This window comes from Homo sapiens, chromosome 3 (assembly GCF_000001405.40).
Source record: "Homo sapiens chromosome 3, GRCh38.p14 Primary Assembly".
NCBI classification, from domain to species: Eukaryota; Metazoa; Chordata; class Mammalia; order Primates; family Hominidae; genus Homo; species Homo sapiens.
In genome coordinates this window covers 1,459,436-1,476,064 of record NC_000003.12, presented here as the reverse complement: position 1 = coordinate 1,476,064, position 16,629 = coordinate 1,459,436, and positions in this window count along the sequence as shown.

Below are 16,629 nucleotides of genomic sequence, written 5' to 3'. Positions count from 1 at the left end.
CTTTTTTATGCTTATATCTTTAAGAGTTTCTGCAATTAAGATTGTTTAGTGGTTGGTCCTTAAATTATATCTAATGAAGGCTTTACTGTATCTCAAATTCATCTGCAGAATCATTTAAAATTCACAAAGCCTTGCATTATCACACATCAAATGTCACAGTCTGGCAGTTAATCTTATTGAAAGGTTAGTTATGTGTGGCACCTGCAGAGGTGTCTGAACTGAAGATTCCCAGGATTTGATACTAAAATGGGGATGAAGGTAAAATTAAATTGAGGATTGGGAAGGCAGCTGTGTATTAACTGGGTTTTGGGTATCTCAGTGTCTGCAAACGTCCAGCCTGTTTTTCAACTGGTTTTTGATGACAAAGACGACAACATATATAACAAACACTAAACTTCTCTTTTAAAAATGAAATAGATTGTAGATTTTTTCTTTCTATGTAATTCTATAATAAAACAAAATTATTTTAAAGGTATTTGATCATAAAGTATTTGACTTTTAGTTATCTACTAAATTTAGGATTTTTAGAATGATGAATGCCATACAGTCTCAATTACTATGTCTAAATTATTTTCAGTATGCAGAAAATTACCTTTCAGTGTACAGAAGAATTTAAATCTTCGTCTAGTCCCACTATGCATAATGTCTATGGTCAATTTCTGCAAGGCTGTGTGCTCTGGGAATGCAATCTTTAATATTTAACTCATTCTAAATATAATTAGCAAGGACAGACTGCTGGGAAAAGGGAAAAAGAACACACCCTCTTTTGGATTACACACTTTTTGATTATTTCTTAGACACAGATGTCTAGAAGGACAAGGCAGGTAACAAAACTGAGTGCAAATATTTTCTCCCACTCTGTGGGTTATCTGTTTACCATGACGATTATTTCTTTTACTGTGCAGAAGCTTTTTAGTTTAATTAGGCCCCATCTATTTATTTTTGTTTCTGTTGCATTTGTTTTTATGTTCTTGGTCATAAATTCTTTGCCTAAGCCAATGTTTAGAAGAGTTTTTCTGACATTGTCTTTTAGATTTTTTTGTTTTGTTTTGTTTTGTTTCAGGTCTTGGATTTAAGTCTTTGATCTATCTTGAGTAGATTTTTGTATAAGGTGAGAGATGAGGATCCAGTTTCATTCTCCTACATGTGGCTTGCCAATTATCCCAGCATCATTTGTTGATTAGGGTGTCCTTTCCTCACTCTACGTTTTTGTTTACTTTGTCGAAGATCAGTTGGCTGTAAGTATTTGGCTTTATTTCTGGATTCTCTATTCTGCTTCTATTGTTCTATGTGCCTATTTTTATACCAGTACCATGCTGTTTTGGTGTCTATAGCCTTATAATATTAGCATGAAGTTGGATAATGTGATACCTCCAGATTTGTTCTTTTTGCTTAGTCTTGCTTTTGCTATGCAGGCTCTTTTTTTTTTTTTTTTTGTTCCGTATAAATTTTAGGATTGTTTCTTCTAGTTCTGTGAAGAATGATGATGGTATTTTGAAGGGAATTGAATTTGTAGATTATTTTTGGCAGTATGGTCATTTTCACTATATTGATTCTACCCATCCATGAGCATGGGATATGTTTCCTTTTATCTGTGTTATCTGTGAGTGCAAGAGACCAGCTCAGATGTGCATGTCTGATTCAATGGGGCTGGCAGAACCTTTACCCCTACCCACTTCAATTCATGGTCGACTAGTAAGAGTGCTAGGCCAGTACTGTTAGTGCTCCTTATAGTGACTCATTTTCTTAAAGACTGACCATGCCGGCCAAACCAAAGCTATCTGCAGATGGTACGTGGCCAGACGTTATTCGTTTATTACTTCTGTCAGATATAGTGAGGGCTAATCATATGGCAGATGCTTGAATTTAGTAAAAAAATATGCTCAGAGCCTTTACGAAACTATTGTTTTATAAATACTACTACAGCACAGTGTTCTCTTGGAGTTTATGTATTATCAACATAGGTACTTTTATTACTTCCTAATAATGCTGCTTCTCTCCTTATGTGACAGCAAGTAGTCACTAACATCATGTACGACAGATATCTGGAAATAGGGGGTTTAACTCAGCATTTTCCAGGGGAATAGTACAGAGAGGAATCACAGGTGTTCCTGTTTAATTTCATCAAGGTTAAGGGTGTATTTGGGGAGTGGGCATTGTGTGATTTTCCTTCCATACCAATGCTCCTCCCACCACTCCCCCACCGCTCCCACCCTCCCCAACCCCCACCCAGCCTAAGCGTCTTAAGCAGTCTGTTTCAAATGCCCTAGGGCACTGGGTAGGAAAGTTATCTAATATTTTGGTGTTGGTATTATTTGTAAAGATGGTGCAAGGGGGCAACATTTCTGCTAAAAGATCAACATACAAGCAACTTTTACAGATATTCTCTCCCCAGAAACACAGTAAAGTGTGGCTAATATAGCTTTTTGGTTGGCACAATGTGTAGAATTCAGTAACATTGTGATTGACTGACATTTTGCAGTAGGTTCAGCTCCCACTGTCATCCCAGACCCCGGTTGTGGAATCAGTCACTTGCTCAAGCACCAGTTGAATGGTCTGGACTAGACTCCTCCAAGATTTCTCCAGATTCAAGATGCTTTATAAGCACCCTCTTCACATACCTCCTTTTCTTAGTTTGTCCAGCAAGAAATGTCCCTTCTGTCTGCTTTCCAAGGTATTTATGGATACTCTTTATGTCCTTCTAAATCAGGGCCTTCCAATTTGGAGAAAAAAATGTGTGCAAGCATGTATGTGTGCTGGAGGTGAGTTGGGTGGATATTTGTTAATGGAGCCATCAGGATGAGCCACTCAGACATTTCAAGACAGCTTGCTATGGAGAGCCCAGTTGACTAAGAGCTCAAGCTGCTACTCCAGAGAATGTGGAGGCCTCAACTCCCACGCACTTCAGCCAGCCAGTGACTGAGGAGAGTGAGGGCACCAGTGCCAGCCCATTCCTGCCCAGTGAAGGATTCTGCATAGGTAGCTTGTTCGGGGATCTCGTCATTGGCTTGGGAGAGAAGTTTTCAAACCTGAGCTGTGGTCTGAGACTCTTTCTGCCCAATTCTTCTTTTCTTTCCCCTTCCCAGGTGTCAAACCTAACTTGTGGTATAAAGACTCTCCCTGCTTACTCCTTCTCTTTCTCCGTTTCTCCTTCACAGGTCTATTCCCTCCAGTAAATTTCTTGAATGAAGTGTCTGCTTCTTGCAAGAACTGAGCTGACATACGTGTATACTGCATGGGTGGGTGTGTGTGTGTGTGTGTGTGTGTGTGTGTGTATATATACCATACATACATATACACACATGTAAATATATATACATACAGATACACATACATATGGAAATATACATACATATATACACACATACATACATATATAAATATAAATACATATACATAGCTATATACATATACATAGAATTAACAAACAGAAGAAAAGAATATCAGCAAAATGTGGAAATTGCATTAATTGGTATTTGACTTTCTCAGTATGTTAATATTTTGAAGTAATCTGAGACAGGCTTTTCCAGAATTAAAAAAGAAAACCTTCAGGAAAGAGAAAATACTGCATAAGTGATTTCCATTTGTGCCAACTGTGGCTGTTTAGTGGCTTCGAGAACCACTAAACTTTCCACAATTTCTCTGCTAAAACTGCACATGCAAATGAATCTGCAAAGACATTTCTCTCTGTTTAGAAAAAAATTGATTTATGCAGAGGTCTATGTTGTTTATTTCGATAAAACTGGTCTCAATTGGAAGTAAATGTCTCCAAAGAAATTTATCTTGGAGAAAGAGGTATGAACTTTATATTATAAAAATTTGATCAACTATCATGTTAGGTGCCAAGGTCAGTGGAAATTTCACTACATTAATATTTACTTACGTTAGGATTATTTTTATTTTTATTAGTTCTTTGATTACAAAGTTACGTAGGTTTTTACTGTTCCATCTTATTCTTTCAAAAAATCTTATTATTTTAGGGGGTGATTCTGTAGAACAGGAGGCTTTCCTACATTGTGGAAGAAACTCCAGTTTATATCTATAAAGATATAAATGTGTTCATTCTTTTTAGAGAGCCAGGGTCTGGCAAATTAAAAGCTTTGTTTCACAAAGATTGCCCTCAAAAGGAGCTTCAAGGGCCTATTCTGGAGCTCAGAAACTGAGCACTGACTCTTTCTTTCATTTATGTTCTAACAATCTGCCTTTCCCAGTCAGGCAATGGATAATCCAGGCTGAAGTCAGGAAAGGCCAGTATTAACAGTGCAAAGAAGAAGTAGAATAAGTATGTTTGAAGGTACGCCTTAGTGTAGGTTTATTGCTGCTGCTCGCTAGTCACTATCTAAGTGGGATTCACTCCTTACCCTGCACACAGGGTTTCAATTCACGCAGCAGAAAGAAGAAAGAATATACTCACAGGTCACAGACTTTCAGAATCATTTGGCAAGTTGAAACAGTAAGTGAACACCCCTGCTCTGCTGTTTTAATTAGACAGGAAAAACCTTAGACATAAATGTGACAATGTATTTTATCAAGTGCTCTTCACTACATCTTCACTGATGCAAAATATTTTCTCCAGCCACTTAAATGAAAATTCTTCCCTAGGAAATTTTCATTCTGATTACCTAAGAGAAGTACCAAAGTGTAAATATATTTTCAGTTTGCAGAAACAAATGAACATCATTTATGGATTCATAAGTCATCATGTAAGCTGCACGTTATCTCTAGGAGGGAAAGATGAGGTGCAACTTCATAGAATTAAAGTCCAGTGGCGAAAAATAGAATTTTCCCAAATCCTACAACACAAGAGATGTAAGAAGCAAATATTATATGACGTGAGGGATTTGGAGAAAATTTAAGTAAGCATTTCCTGATATAAGAGTCCTGAAATATTACAACATTAAAAAGGATTAAAGAATCAAAGTCAAATATCACACAGTGTTTAGAGTTAGTAAGATGATGCAAGGAGAAGGAGAATAGTCACGGCTAACATGGCCTCGTACCTCATAAATCTTATCCGACCGTATTGATTGGCTAAGATTTCTCAAGATCTCTGCTGTCCAATTCTTTTCATGAACTGTTTGTTTCATTATTTTATATTTGCCTTTTCACATGATTAAGAAAACAGAAAAATTAAAGATGAAATTCTTCTCCATCAGTTATTGTGTAACAGTTCACAGTGCTAGGCAGTAGAATCAGTGGGAAAGAGAAAAATACGGATGTGATGGGACCTTACCCCAGACACTGAATCAGCTTTTCTGGGTGTGGAGCCCAGGCATCTTTAATTCACTAAGTATTTATTATTATTATTATTTTTTTTTGAGACGGAGTCTTACACTGTCGCCTAGGTTGGAGTGCAATGGTGCAATCTCAGCTCACTGCAACCTCCGCCACCTGGGCTCAAGTGATTCTCCTCCCTCAGCCTCCGGAGTAGCTGGGATTACAGGCATGCGCCACTGTGCCCAGCTACTTTTTGAATTTAGTAGAGATGGGGTTTCACCATGTTGCCTAGGCTGGTCTTGAACTCCTGACCTCAGGTGATCCATCCACCTTGGCCTCCCAAAGTTCACTAAGTATTTCTAATGAGCAGCCACACTTAACTGCTAGTCTATAAGGGATACCTTTAATTGTTTTTAAAGTTTAAATTTATCACCCAAATATTAAGCCTTGTACAACATACCCCCCCGACACAAGTTTACCTATGTAACAAACCAGCACTTACACCTCTGAACTTAAAAGTTTTTAAAAGTTTGTGCAAAAGTATGAGATTTTGCTAAAAGATTGCCTTGAAGTATCCATCAAGAACAAAACAGTCATTTTAATTTCCTCATGCAAATTTTAAAAGAAGCTATACTAGGAAAATTCAAGGCCATCTGGAACTAAGTTGCATGGCAGTCACCTAAAATCCTTGGTGGAAAAGATAAGGCTGCAATCAAATAAAGTGAATTTCAAAGTCACGATTATCATTTTAAAATCAGAATTTCGAGCAGAAATATCAAGAACAGGTATTGTTGGAAGAAATATAAGATTTTTAAAACCCTCTGGCTCATATTCACGTAGGTGAAATTAACTGCTCCAATACAAAATACCTTGTGATCAGTAAACTGAACATATCTTTTGCAACAAGAATGTACAAGGTCAATTGGAAGGTGGGGTGGAGCCACTGCTGTGAAGTCTAAGGCTACAAGTGTTGTCAATATGTAACAATCCTTAAGGAAAATTGTTAAGTCACTGTGGACAGTACAGGAAAACTCTGGGCTAACAAGTATTTAAGTAAATAATTATCTCCTTTGCAATTTGAAGATTAGTTAGAAGTGAAATAATTCCCAGCACATAACCTGATGTAAACATTGCCTTATTTTCTTTTTCATTTTCAGGATAGCTATTCCTGCATTCAATAGCCACAAAGAAAGAAAAAAACATAAAATGTGAGATTAAAAAAAATCATTAATTATGACTATAGTTTTTGCACATATAAGTTTTACACATGGCTGTAATGACAAGAAGAAAGCTTCTGCATTGTCTTTGGTCCTGGTTATGATAAGTAACACTGTCCGCCAGACGGTATAGTGATAGACCCTATACTGTACTGAACTTCAAAAGATATTTGTAAGATGGAGAGTTGCCAGTAAGTAGAATGCTTTCACCCTACTTCAATATTAGTTTAACAACTGGAAAGATCTGGCTGCTTAAATATTAAACACATGTTCAATTATTAAACACTTAGGATTCTTCTTCTGATTATTAAACCTGTATGTAAAGAACATTGGTGCTAATGTGCAGTCAGCTTGACTGGCACCACAATCTTCCCATGTTGTGGATTTCAAATTGTTTCTATACTGTCTCAGGCATCAAAACAGGGCTTGGCAGCACCAGAATCTAACAAAAATGCAATTAAAAACTACTTCTCAAAGTTTCCAGTGGGCACGCGGATCATTTCCAAGAAAGATGTTCAGATTATTGCTCAAGGCAAAATGACTTCAGACGGTGATTTTGCCATTGATCTAACAGGAAAGAATTCCCTGCTAATGAACCTCGGGAAAGAGATTAATAGAAATAAAAGATAGCTCCTACCACTACCCTTTATCGAATGTGAGTGAGTCTGACAATAAGACATGAGATTCATTAAAATGTAACAGTAAGAAAAACAGTGTTACAAATAACTGAATTTCTGAATAAGTAGCAGTCTTCTATAAATACTGAGTCAAACAATCAGCTAATGAAGTTCAATGCTCTATCATCCTTGAACATGTTACTATGAAATTTAAAAATGCAAGGAAGTTAATTAATGACTCTTCAAATTAATTTAATAATGTGAACTACCTCATCCAAGTCGATGGTTTGAATAATTCTAGGGGTTCCTGTTCTCCTGAACTGATGACTTTGATTAATATATTTTACCTTATTGCTTTATTCTAATAGAAAATTAGAAGGGGAAATGGAAGGGAAATTTTGCAGAATTAGATTTAGAAACAAAATGTCTTGATTACGCTGTGCAGTACCCAGCATTTCCTATATACAGAAGCATTTAGCTACCTTGCTAAATTATTTTCCTGAAATTTAGTGTTATATACGTTAAGTCCAGGAAACATCAGCTCATATGCTTTGTGATAGACATGGCGCTCGATCTCTACATACAAAAAAAAAAAAAAAAACCTCAACAAGAGAAATGACATCATCCAACTCTTAGGTCACTGGGAGGTACATGCACTGGAATCTGATTACACTGGCCCCACTGCTTCTGTTATCATTATCAAGTCATGTGACTCTGGGCACGTCACTCCATCTCATGCAAAAAATACTTTGCTGGACTAAGTGCTCTCCAGTGTTTACTCTCACTCTACCATTATATAATATATAAATTAACAGGGAAATGTGGCTGAGATAATGCATAAACCTGGAAAATATGAAGTCATTAACATTTAGCCTTAGGATGCAATAGTTTTCTTTCAGGAAATTACTTTCATATTTATATTCTGCCTGAGCTGGTGTTAAAACTAGTTTCCATTCCTAGGTCACACCAGATGACAGTGAAGTCAGATGATTCAGATTCATGCATGGACAAAGGGTGAAGCCTCCTCAAAATATTGACAATATTTAATAATCTATAACACAGAAGTCATTGATGGTATTTTCTGGGTAAATGAACATGATCTCCCATGTCCTTAGTGGAGAACATGACATAATCTATTTTTTTTTTTTTTTGAGACCGAGTCTCTCTCTACTGCCCAGGCTGGAGTGCAGTGGCACGATATTGGCTCACTGCAACCTCCGCCTCCCAGGTTCAAGCGATTCCCGTGCCAAAGCCTCCCAAGTAGCTGGGATTACAGGTGCCTTCCACTACACCCGGCTGATTTTTGTATTTTTAGTAGAGACAGGGTTTCCCTATGTTGGCCATGCTGGTCTCCAACTCCAGACCTCAAGTGATCTACCTGCCTTGGCCTCCCAAAGTGTTAGGATTACAAGCGTGAGCCACAGCACCCTGCGGAAGACATAATTTATTGAGCAAACCTTTAGTAAGTGCCTATTTTGTGCCTACCTATTGTGTTTAAAATTGTGTTAATGTCTGAAAAGAAATTAAAACCTATTGTCTCTTCCTTGAGCAAACTTAAAATAGTTGAGAGTACTGACGAAATAGTATATCATTCAAACAAGACTACAGTTAACTAAGCAATAGCTAAATTATAAGCTGCTAAGCTGCACAGTGAGTTCAAGTTTCTTAATCAAGTATCAAATATGTGAGAGGGAGGTGCTGGGCATGATGGCTCATGTCTGTACTCCCAGCACTTTGGGAGGCCTAGGCAGGGGGATTGCTTGAGCTCAGGAGTTCGAGACCAGTCTAGGTGACATGGTGAGACCCTCATCTCAATAAAAAATACAAAATTTAGCTAGGCATGGTGGTATGCACCTCTAGTGCCAGATACGTAGGAGGCTGCGGTGGGAGGGTCACTTGAGCCAGGACGCTGAGATTGCACCTCTGCACTCCAGCCTGGGTGGAGAACAAGACTCTGTCTCAAAAATAAATGAATAAATACATAAACAAATAAACTATTCAAAGGCGGATTGGGATCACTGTATCCCTATCCAAAAGGGAATACCTTGGATACAATAAAAAATTAAGCATTAACTGAAAATCTGAGGAACTTTGAGGGATTGTTGGGCATGTCCAGATATTAGATCTCCAATAAAGTGTAGAATGAAAGTACATGATTTGATTTAAAGTTGCCTTTTAAGATACTTTATGTGAGAGTGCTACATATTTGTTAGAAATAGGGAGAGATGGTACTGGGTGGTACACCTTATGTCAGAAATGGAAATATTACAGTGACTAGAAATATTAAAGTGACTAGAACATACAATTATCTGACATAAATTTTCAATACATTAGCTTTGCTATGGCAAAATACCCTAAACTTAAACTGATGGAGATTAATTGCTTGCTGCATGTCCACTTACTCTGGAAAACCCCAGTCTGGATTCTAGTCGATAACCCCATATCTGGTTATGATTATAGGTTCAGAGTCACTTATCTCTCAATGTTTAAAGATGTTGCTGTATTGTATTCTGGCATCCAAAGTTACTGTTGGAAAGTCTGATGTTATTTTGATCCCTATCCTTTGCATGTGATTATTTTTCCTCTATGAAAGTGTATTAGTGTGCTGGGACTAAAATTACAAAATACTAAAGACTGAGTGACCTAAACAATAGCTCTTGATTTCTTACAGTTCTGGAGGCTGGGAAGTCCAAGACTAAGGTTCCAGCTGATTTGGTTTCTAGTGAGGGCTGTCTGTCTTGCAGACCATCACCTTCTTGCTGTTTCTTCACATGGAGAAGAGAAAGAGCAAGCTTTCTGATGTCTATTCTTATAAAGACACCAATATTATCCGATTGAGGCCCCACCCTTATGACCTCGTTTTACTTTAATTACTTCCTTATTCCAAAGATTGTCACATTGGGGGTTAAGGTTTCAACATATGAATTTTGGGGGACACAATTCAGTCCATGCAGAAAATATTTAGAAGTTTTCTTAATCTCTAGAATTCTGAAATTTCATAATGCAGGTTTATCTTCAGCTAATCCCATCAGTCCTTCAATCTGGAACATTTCCACTTTTTAGAAAAATATATAATTCTTTTGCTTTTATTTCCTTTACTAAAATTTCTGTTATCTAAATATCAAATCTTTTGTAATTACCTTTTGATTTTCTCATACTGTTCCAGTATCTTTCATTTATTTATCTTTTTATTCTACTCTGGGATATTCCTCAACTGTTATACTATTATTCCACTTTGCTGCCCAAATTTTATTTTGATTATCCAATTTTAAGTTATAAGAGCTATCTTTTTTCTTTGACTTATTCTTTCTTTCTCTTTCTCTCTTACTGTCCTCTTAACCCAATACATTTTCTTACTTGTTTGAGGACATAAATTTGAGGTTTTTGAAAATGTTAGCCTTACCTTATTTTGTATCTTTTTTGCCCTCCATTTTCTGGTAGTTGTTTTTCCCCGACATTGAAGGCTTTCATCAGCTGTCTACGTGTCTGTACATATGTAAGAATGAAAGAATAAAAACCTGGTTAAAAGGTTGAAGACTGATGGGCAAAGGGGGTATTTGTGGTTCTGTGGACTTCACTGCTGAGTCATTGCACAATCAGCTGGACTCTCAATGAGAGTATGCAAAGATTGTTTCCCTGTAATTATTCAGTTCTTCCAGAGAACATTTTTCTAGTTTTCTGTTGCCTTAATGCTTATGGTAAGAGGACGGCGGCTGGGCGCGGTGGCTCACGCCTGTAATCCCAGCATTTTGGGAGGCCGAGGCGGGTGGATCTTTTGAGGTCAGGAGTTCGAGACCAGCCTGACCAACATGGTAGAACCCCGTCTCTACTAAAAATGCAAAAATTAGCGGGGTGTGGTGGTGTGCACCTGTAATCCCAGCTACTCAGGAGGCTGAGGCAGGAGAATTGCTTGAGCCTGGGAGGCGGAGGTTGCCGTCACCCAAAATTGTGCCACTACACTCCAGTCTATGCAACAGAGTGAGACCCTGTCTCAAAAAAAAAAAAAGAAAAGAAAGAAAGAAAAAAAGGAGGGCTTGGGGGCATGGTTTTGTCAACCTTTTCTAGAGTCCTATGAGCAGGGTTCTACAATTTGGCATTGAGACTCTTCTGTATCTCCGCCCTTTTTTAAACTCATACTTTACCCCAGACGTTCACTGTACTTGCGGGCCTGAGGTCAAAAATCTTTTTTTTTTTTTTTGTATCTCTAGAAACTATCCCTCCTCTCTCCTGCCAGATGGAGATAAGATAGACCATCATTTCCGTGTTGCTCAGAGTGGGTGAGGATTATGTGGTTCATCCGCCATGTAACACTCAAAACTAATTCTGTTTTCCTTCGTTTTTAGTTCCCACTCCTACGTCAATATCCTGTAGGCTTTTAGTTGTTACTTATTCCACCTTGCTAATTCACTTGCCACCCTTTATTTTATTTCTTTCATAAATTTGTTTACATTCCTTATCCATTGCGTTCTTCTTTCTTCATCCTTTTTGTTAAGTTTGTCTGTCATGGCAAAGTACCTCTATAGGCTGCTGTCCTTTGAAATAATTTTCTTTAGTGATAATTAAAGAAGACATTTTAATTGCATGTGTTATCTGAAATGTACTGTTAGAAATAATGACTTCTCAGATTCAAAGAGAATCTATCACAAAGCAATCCTCTACTTTGTGCAGTAATATAACTTCTCAATAACACTCTTGCTCCTTTCTTTTCCGTTATCAACTGACAGTCTTAAAAAAAAACTATTTTCATATAATGTTTGGCTGATATTTCTTAGTTATGGTAATGGTTTTATAGAGATTAGAATTTATAACTAAATATATTAAGGTCAGAAAGGGAAAAGTAAATGTGCATTAGCTAATATTTGTGTCTTATTTTAAAATAATTTTCAAATGATAAGATTGACATAATGTACATTGTTGATATATTCTTAAACACTGTGACATGGAAATAGATTTTTTTATAGTTCAAAAATTAAACTTGAATACATCAGAATGGGGAATAGGAGTATCTGTTTAGGAGCTTGGATTTTGAAATTTGGCAGTCCTGGGCTTGAATGAGAAAGCGTTGACATTTACTAGATGTGTGACCATGGATGTGATACTTAAATAGCCTCTCTTTGTCTCAATTTTGTTATCTCTAAAATGTGGATAAATAGCAGTAAAATACTATCTGTATGGAATTGTTTTGAGGATTGCCTGAGATAATTTGGATACACTTCTAAGCATAGTGACTGACATAAACTAAACGTACAATAAACTCTTGCTAACATTAGCATTATTATAATTAATATTAATGACTTATTAATTGGTGTGGGTCTCTTGGATTATGGAAAGAAGACCTAGAGAAAACCGGAAACAGTCAAGGGACTCTGCAGAATGAAACACGAAATAGAATTTGACAATGGAAGAATGAGTGTCTAATGGGCTGGAGTACTAGCAGTATAATGGGAACATCAGAATACCCATGTAAATGCAGACGAAAGCAAGCTCCAAGGAAGTTTAAAGATGAAGTAACTTAAGTAATCTGTATTTTGCAATGTATTGGAAATTTCTGAGGTTTCATTCCATTCATCATTTCATAGCTAAAATTAGAACTGGGTAGGACTAATTTAAACGATCAAGTGTTCAAGTAAAAGTCAACTTTATATTTAAAAAAATTATGACCCACAATTCCACTGGAGCACCAGGCCAAGGTTATGCAGAGTTTTGACTCAAGTGTGTATTATGTGGATAAACCACCTAGCATTGACTATGCAAAGAGGCAAGCCCTTTGTTTAGTTGACACTTGCATTTATATGGAAAATTTAGTGCTAAGGTTCCATCGATTCATATTCTGTCACCTTTTGATTCATTTCTTGTAAAAGTCAATATGTCACTATTCTCTGTACGTCAGTGGAGACTGATTGGAATGCTGACTTTAAAGACAGGTCAGAAAGTCATTGAAAAAAAAAGGCAACAACCTTTACTGGAATGAACAGAATGATGTTAAATGTCAAAGAACAAAAGATTTAGATGCTATTTAGACTGACATGCAAAATGTTTAACTGAATTGCTGGGATATTAGGTTCTAAATTATGCAAAACCTACCAAAGCTCATGGGACAGTCTTGCAGAGTCCCTTTGGAATGCCACTTCTCTCCCAGTTTCTCCTGGAAAGGAAGAAGAAGGAGAAGTAGCCATATATACTTTTTGTGGGGGAACCTCCATCTACGCTAAGGTATGTGGGAAATCTAAACATAAAAAGAAGAGAACAGTTTCAAGTGAAAATGCTGGGCTTCCCGTCCCTAAACATGTTTTAAGTGAACCATGTTATATCTCTAGAAAAGTGGGCCCTCTTATTTTCATGGATACTGTATCCATCAGTGCTTCATATAAAGAAGAAATATGATCTCTCGTGGGTAAAAATATTCTGAGGAATGTATGACACTGAGGCAACCTACAACAATGTAAACTTTCCTTCTGTATTGTTATTCTTGGAAAAGGTGTTCAACCTAGATCCTCTTACTTCAACTCATTCCTTAGGTTTGCCCTGTGTTAAGTAAGTAAAGAAATTAGGAAAACAGCTCTAGGGTGAATATGGTCTGAGGCTGACATATGATGTTGGAGTTGAATTGAGGTTAGGCCAGGACTAGAGACAAGTACAAAATCAAGGATAGCTACTGCTTACATTAATTGCAAAAATTAAAGTAGGTATTTTGTTTGTTTAATGAGGTTAAAATGCTTAATTTGCCTCTTTACATGATTTATTACATTTCAGAAAACATATATCAGAGCACTTGCTACATGCCACAGATTTTGCCTGGTGCTGATAAAACAACACAGAACAAGACATTTTTGTTTGTTTGTTCCATTGTTGTCACTTAGGAAGTCAGGCACAAACCAGATAATATTTCTGTGATATGGTTAGGTGAGCAAATGCACAGAATACCTTGAAAACGCTTGGCTGAAGCCCACTTTTCAGAGTTGGCTTCTAGAGAAGGTGACACTTTTGCTGACTCTTAAAGAATGTTCAGTGGCTATTATCTAGCAATACATGAAGAGCAATCCAAACAGTACTAGAAGGAGCAAAGCTACAGAGACATGAATATGTATGACTCACTCAAAAACTACCAGTTGTTCAGCACTATTTTAAGAAAATAGTTGGGTAGTGGACAGATATGAGGCCATGGAACCTCAGCACTATTAAGACTTTCTATGAAGATGGAAATGATCTATGTTTGCACTGTGTGATACATAGCCTCTGGCCACCTGTGGCTATTGGGCATTTGAAATGTGACTAGTGAAGCTGAAGACATGAAGTTTAAATTTTATTTAATTAATTTCAATTGAAGTTAAAACTACATTGCTACATATAGCTAATGGCAACATTTGATGCAGCAAAATTCTAGAAGTGTATACTATTCACACGCAGCAGGTAAAATCGCTTGGATATTATTCTGACAACAATTGTAAGCCCTTGATAATTTTAAAGCAGGGAAGTGGCATGGCAGAATTTGTGTTTCAGACTGATTATAGTGGCAACAACACGGAGAATGGATTTGAAGGGACAAGATAGGAGTCAGAAAGACTAATTATAATACCACTGTTATTATCCAAGGGAGAGAAACAGTAATAGGGATAAGTTGGATTGATTTGAAAAAACTATTTAAGAAGTAAAGTAATCCATCATATAAACAGAACCAAAGACAAAAACACATGATTATCTCAATAGATGCAGAAAAGGCCTTCAACAAAATTCAACAGCCCTTCATGCTAAAAACTCTCGATAAATTAGGTATTGATGGGACGTATCTCAAAAAAATAAGAGCTATTCATGACAAACCCACAGCCAATATCATACTGAATGCGCAAAAACTGGAAGCATTCCCTTTGAAAACTGGCACAAGACAGGGATGCCCTCTCTCACCACTCCTATTCAACATAGTGTTAGAAGTTCTTGCCAGGGCAATCAGGCAAGAGAAACAAATAAAGGGTATTCAGTTAGGAAAAGAGAAAGTCAAAATGTCCCTGTTTGCAGATGACGTGATTATATATTCAGAAAAACCCATCGTCTCAGCCCAAAATCTCCTTAGGCTGATAAGCAACTTCAGCAAAGTCTCAGGATACAAAATCAATGTGCAAAAATCACAAGCATTCCTATACATCAATAACAGATAAACAGAGAGCCAAATCATGAGTGAACTCCCATTCACAATTGCTTCAAAGAGAATAAAATACCTCGGAATCCAACTTACAAAGGATGTGAAGGAACTCTTCAAGGAGAACTACATACCACTGCTCAATGAAATAAAAGAGGCCACAAACAAATGGAAGAACATTCCATGCTCATGGATAGGAAGAATCAATATCGTGAAAATGGCCATACTGCCCAAGGTAATGTATAGATACAATGCCATCACCATCAAGCTACCAGTGACTTTCTTCACAGAATTGGAAAAAACTACTTTAAAGTTCATATGGAACCAAAAAAGAGCCTGCATTGCCAAGTCAATTCTAAGCCAAAAGGACAAAGCTGGAGGCATCACGCTACCTGACTTCCAACTATACTACAAGGCAATAGTAACCAAAACAGCATGGTACTGGTACCAAAACAGAGATATAGATCAATGGAACAGAACAGAGCCCTCAGAAATAATACCACACATCTACAACCATCTGATCTTTGACAAACCTGACAAAAACAAGAAATGGGGAAAGGATTTCCTAGTTAATAAATGGTGCTGAGAAAACTGGCTAGCCATATGTAGAAAGCTGAAACTGGATCCCTTCCTTACACCTTATACAAAAATTAATTCAAGATAGATTAAAGACTTACATGTTAGACCTAAAACCATAAAAACCCTAGAAGAAAACCTAGGCAATACCATTCAGGACATAGGCATGGGCAAGGACTTCATGTCTAAAACACCAAAAGCAATGACAACAAAAGCCAAAACTGACAAATGGGATCTAATTAAGCTAAAGAGCTTCTGCACAGAAAAAGAAACCACCATCAGAGTGAACAGGCAACCTACAGAATGGGAGAAGATATTTGTAATCTACCCTCTGACCAAGGGCTAATATCCAGAATCTACAAACACCTTAAACAAATTTACAAGAAAAAATCAAACGACCCCATCAAAAAGTGGGCGAAGGATATGAACAGACACTTTTCAAAACAAGACATTTATGCAGCCAACAGACACATGAAAAAATGCTCATCATCACTGGCCATCAGAGAAATGCAAATCAAAACCACAATGAGATACCATCTCACACCAGTTAGAATGGCAATCATTAAAAAGTCAGGAAACAACAGGTGCTGGAGAGGATGTGGAGAAATAGGAACACTTTTACACTGTTGGTGGGACTGTAAACTAGTTCAGCCATTGTGGAAGACAGTGTGGCGACTCCTCAAGGATCTAGAACTAGAAATATCATTTGACCCAGCCATCCCTTTACTGGGTATATACCCAAAGGATTATAAATCATGCTGCTATAAAGACACATGCACACATATGTTTATTGTGGCACTATTCACAATAGCAAAGACTTGGAACCAACCCAAATGTCCATCAATGATAGACTGGATTAAGAAAATGT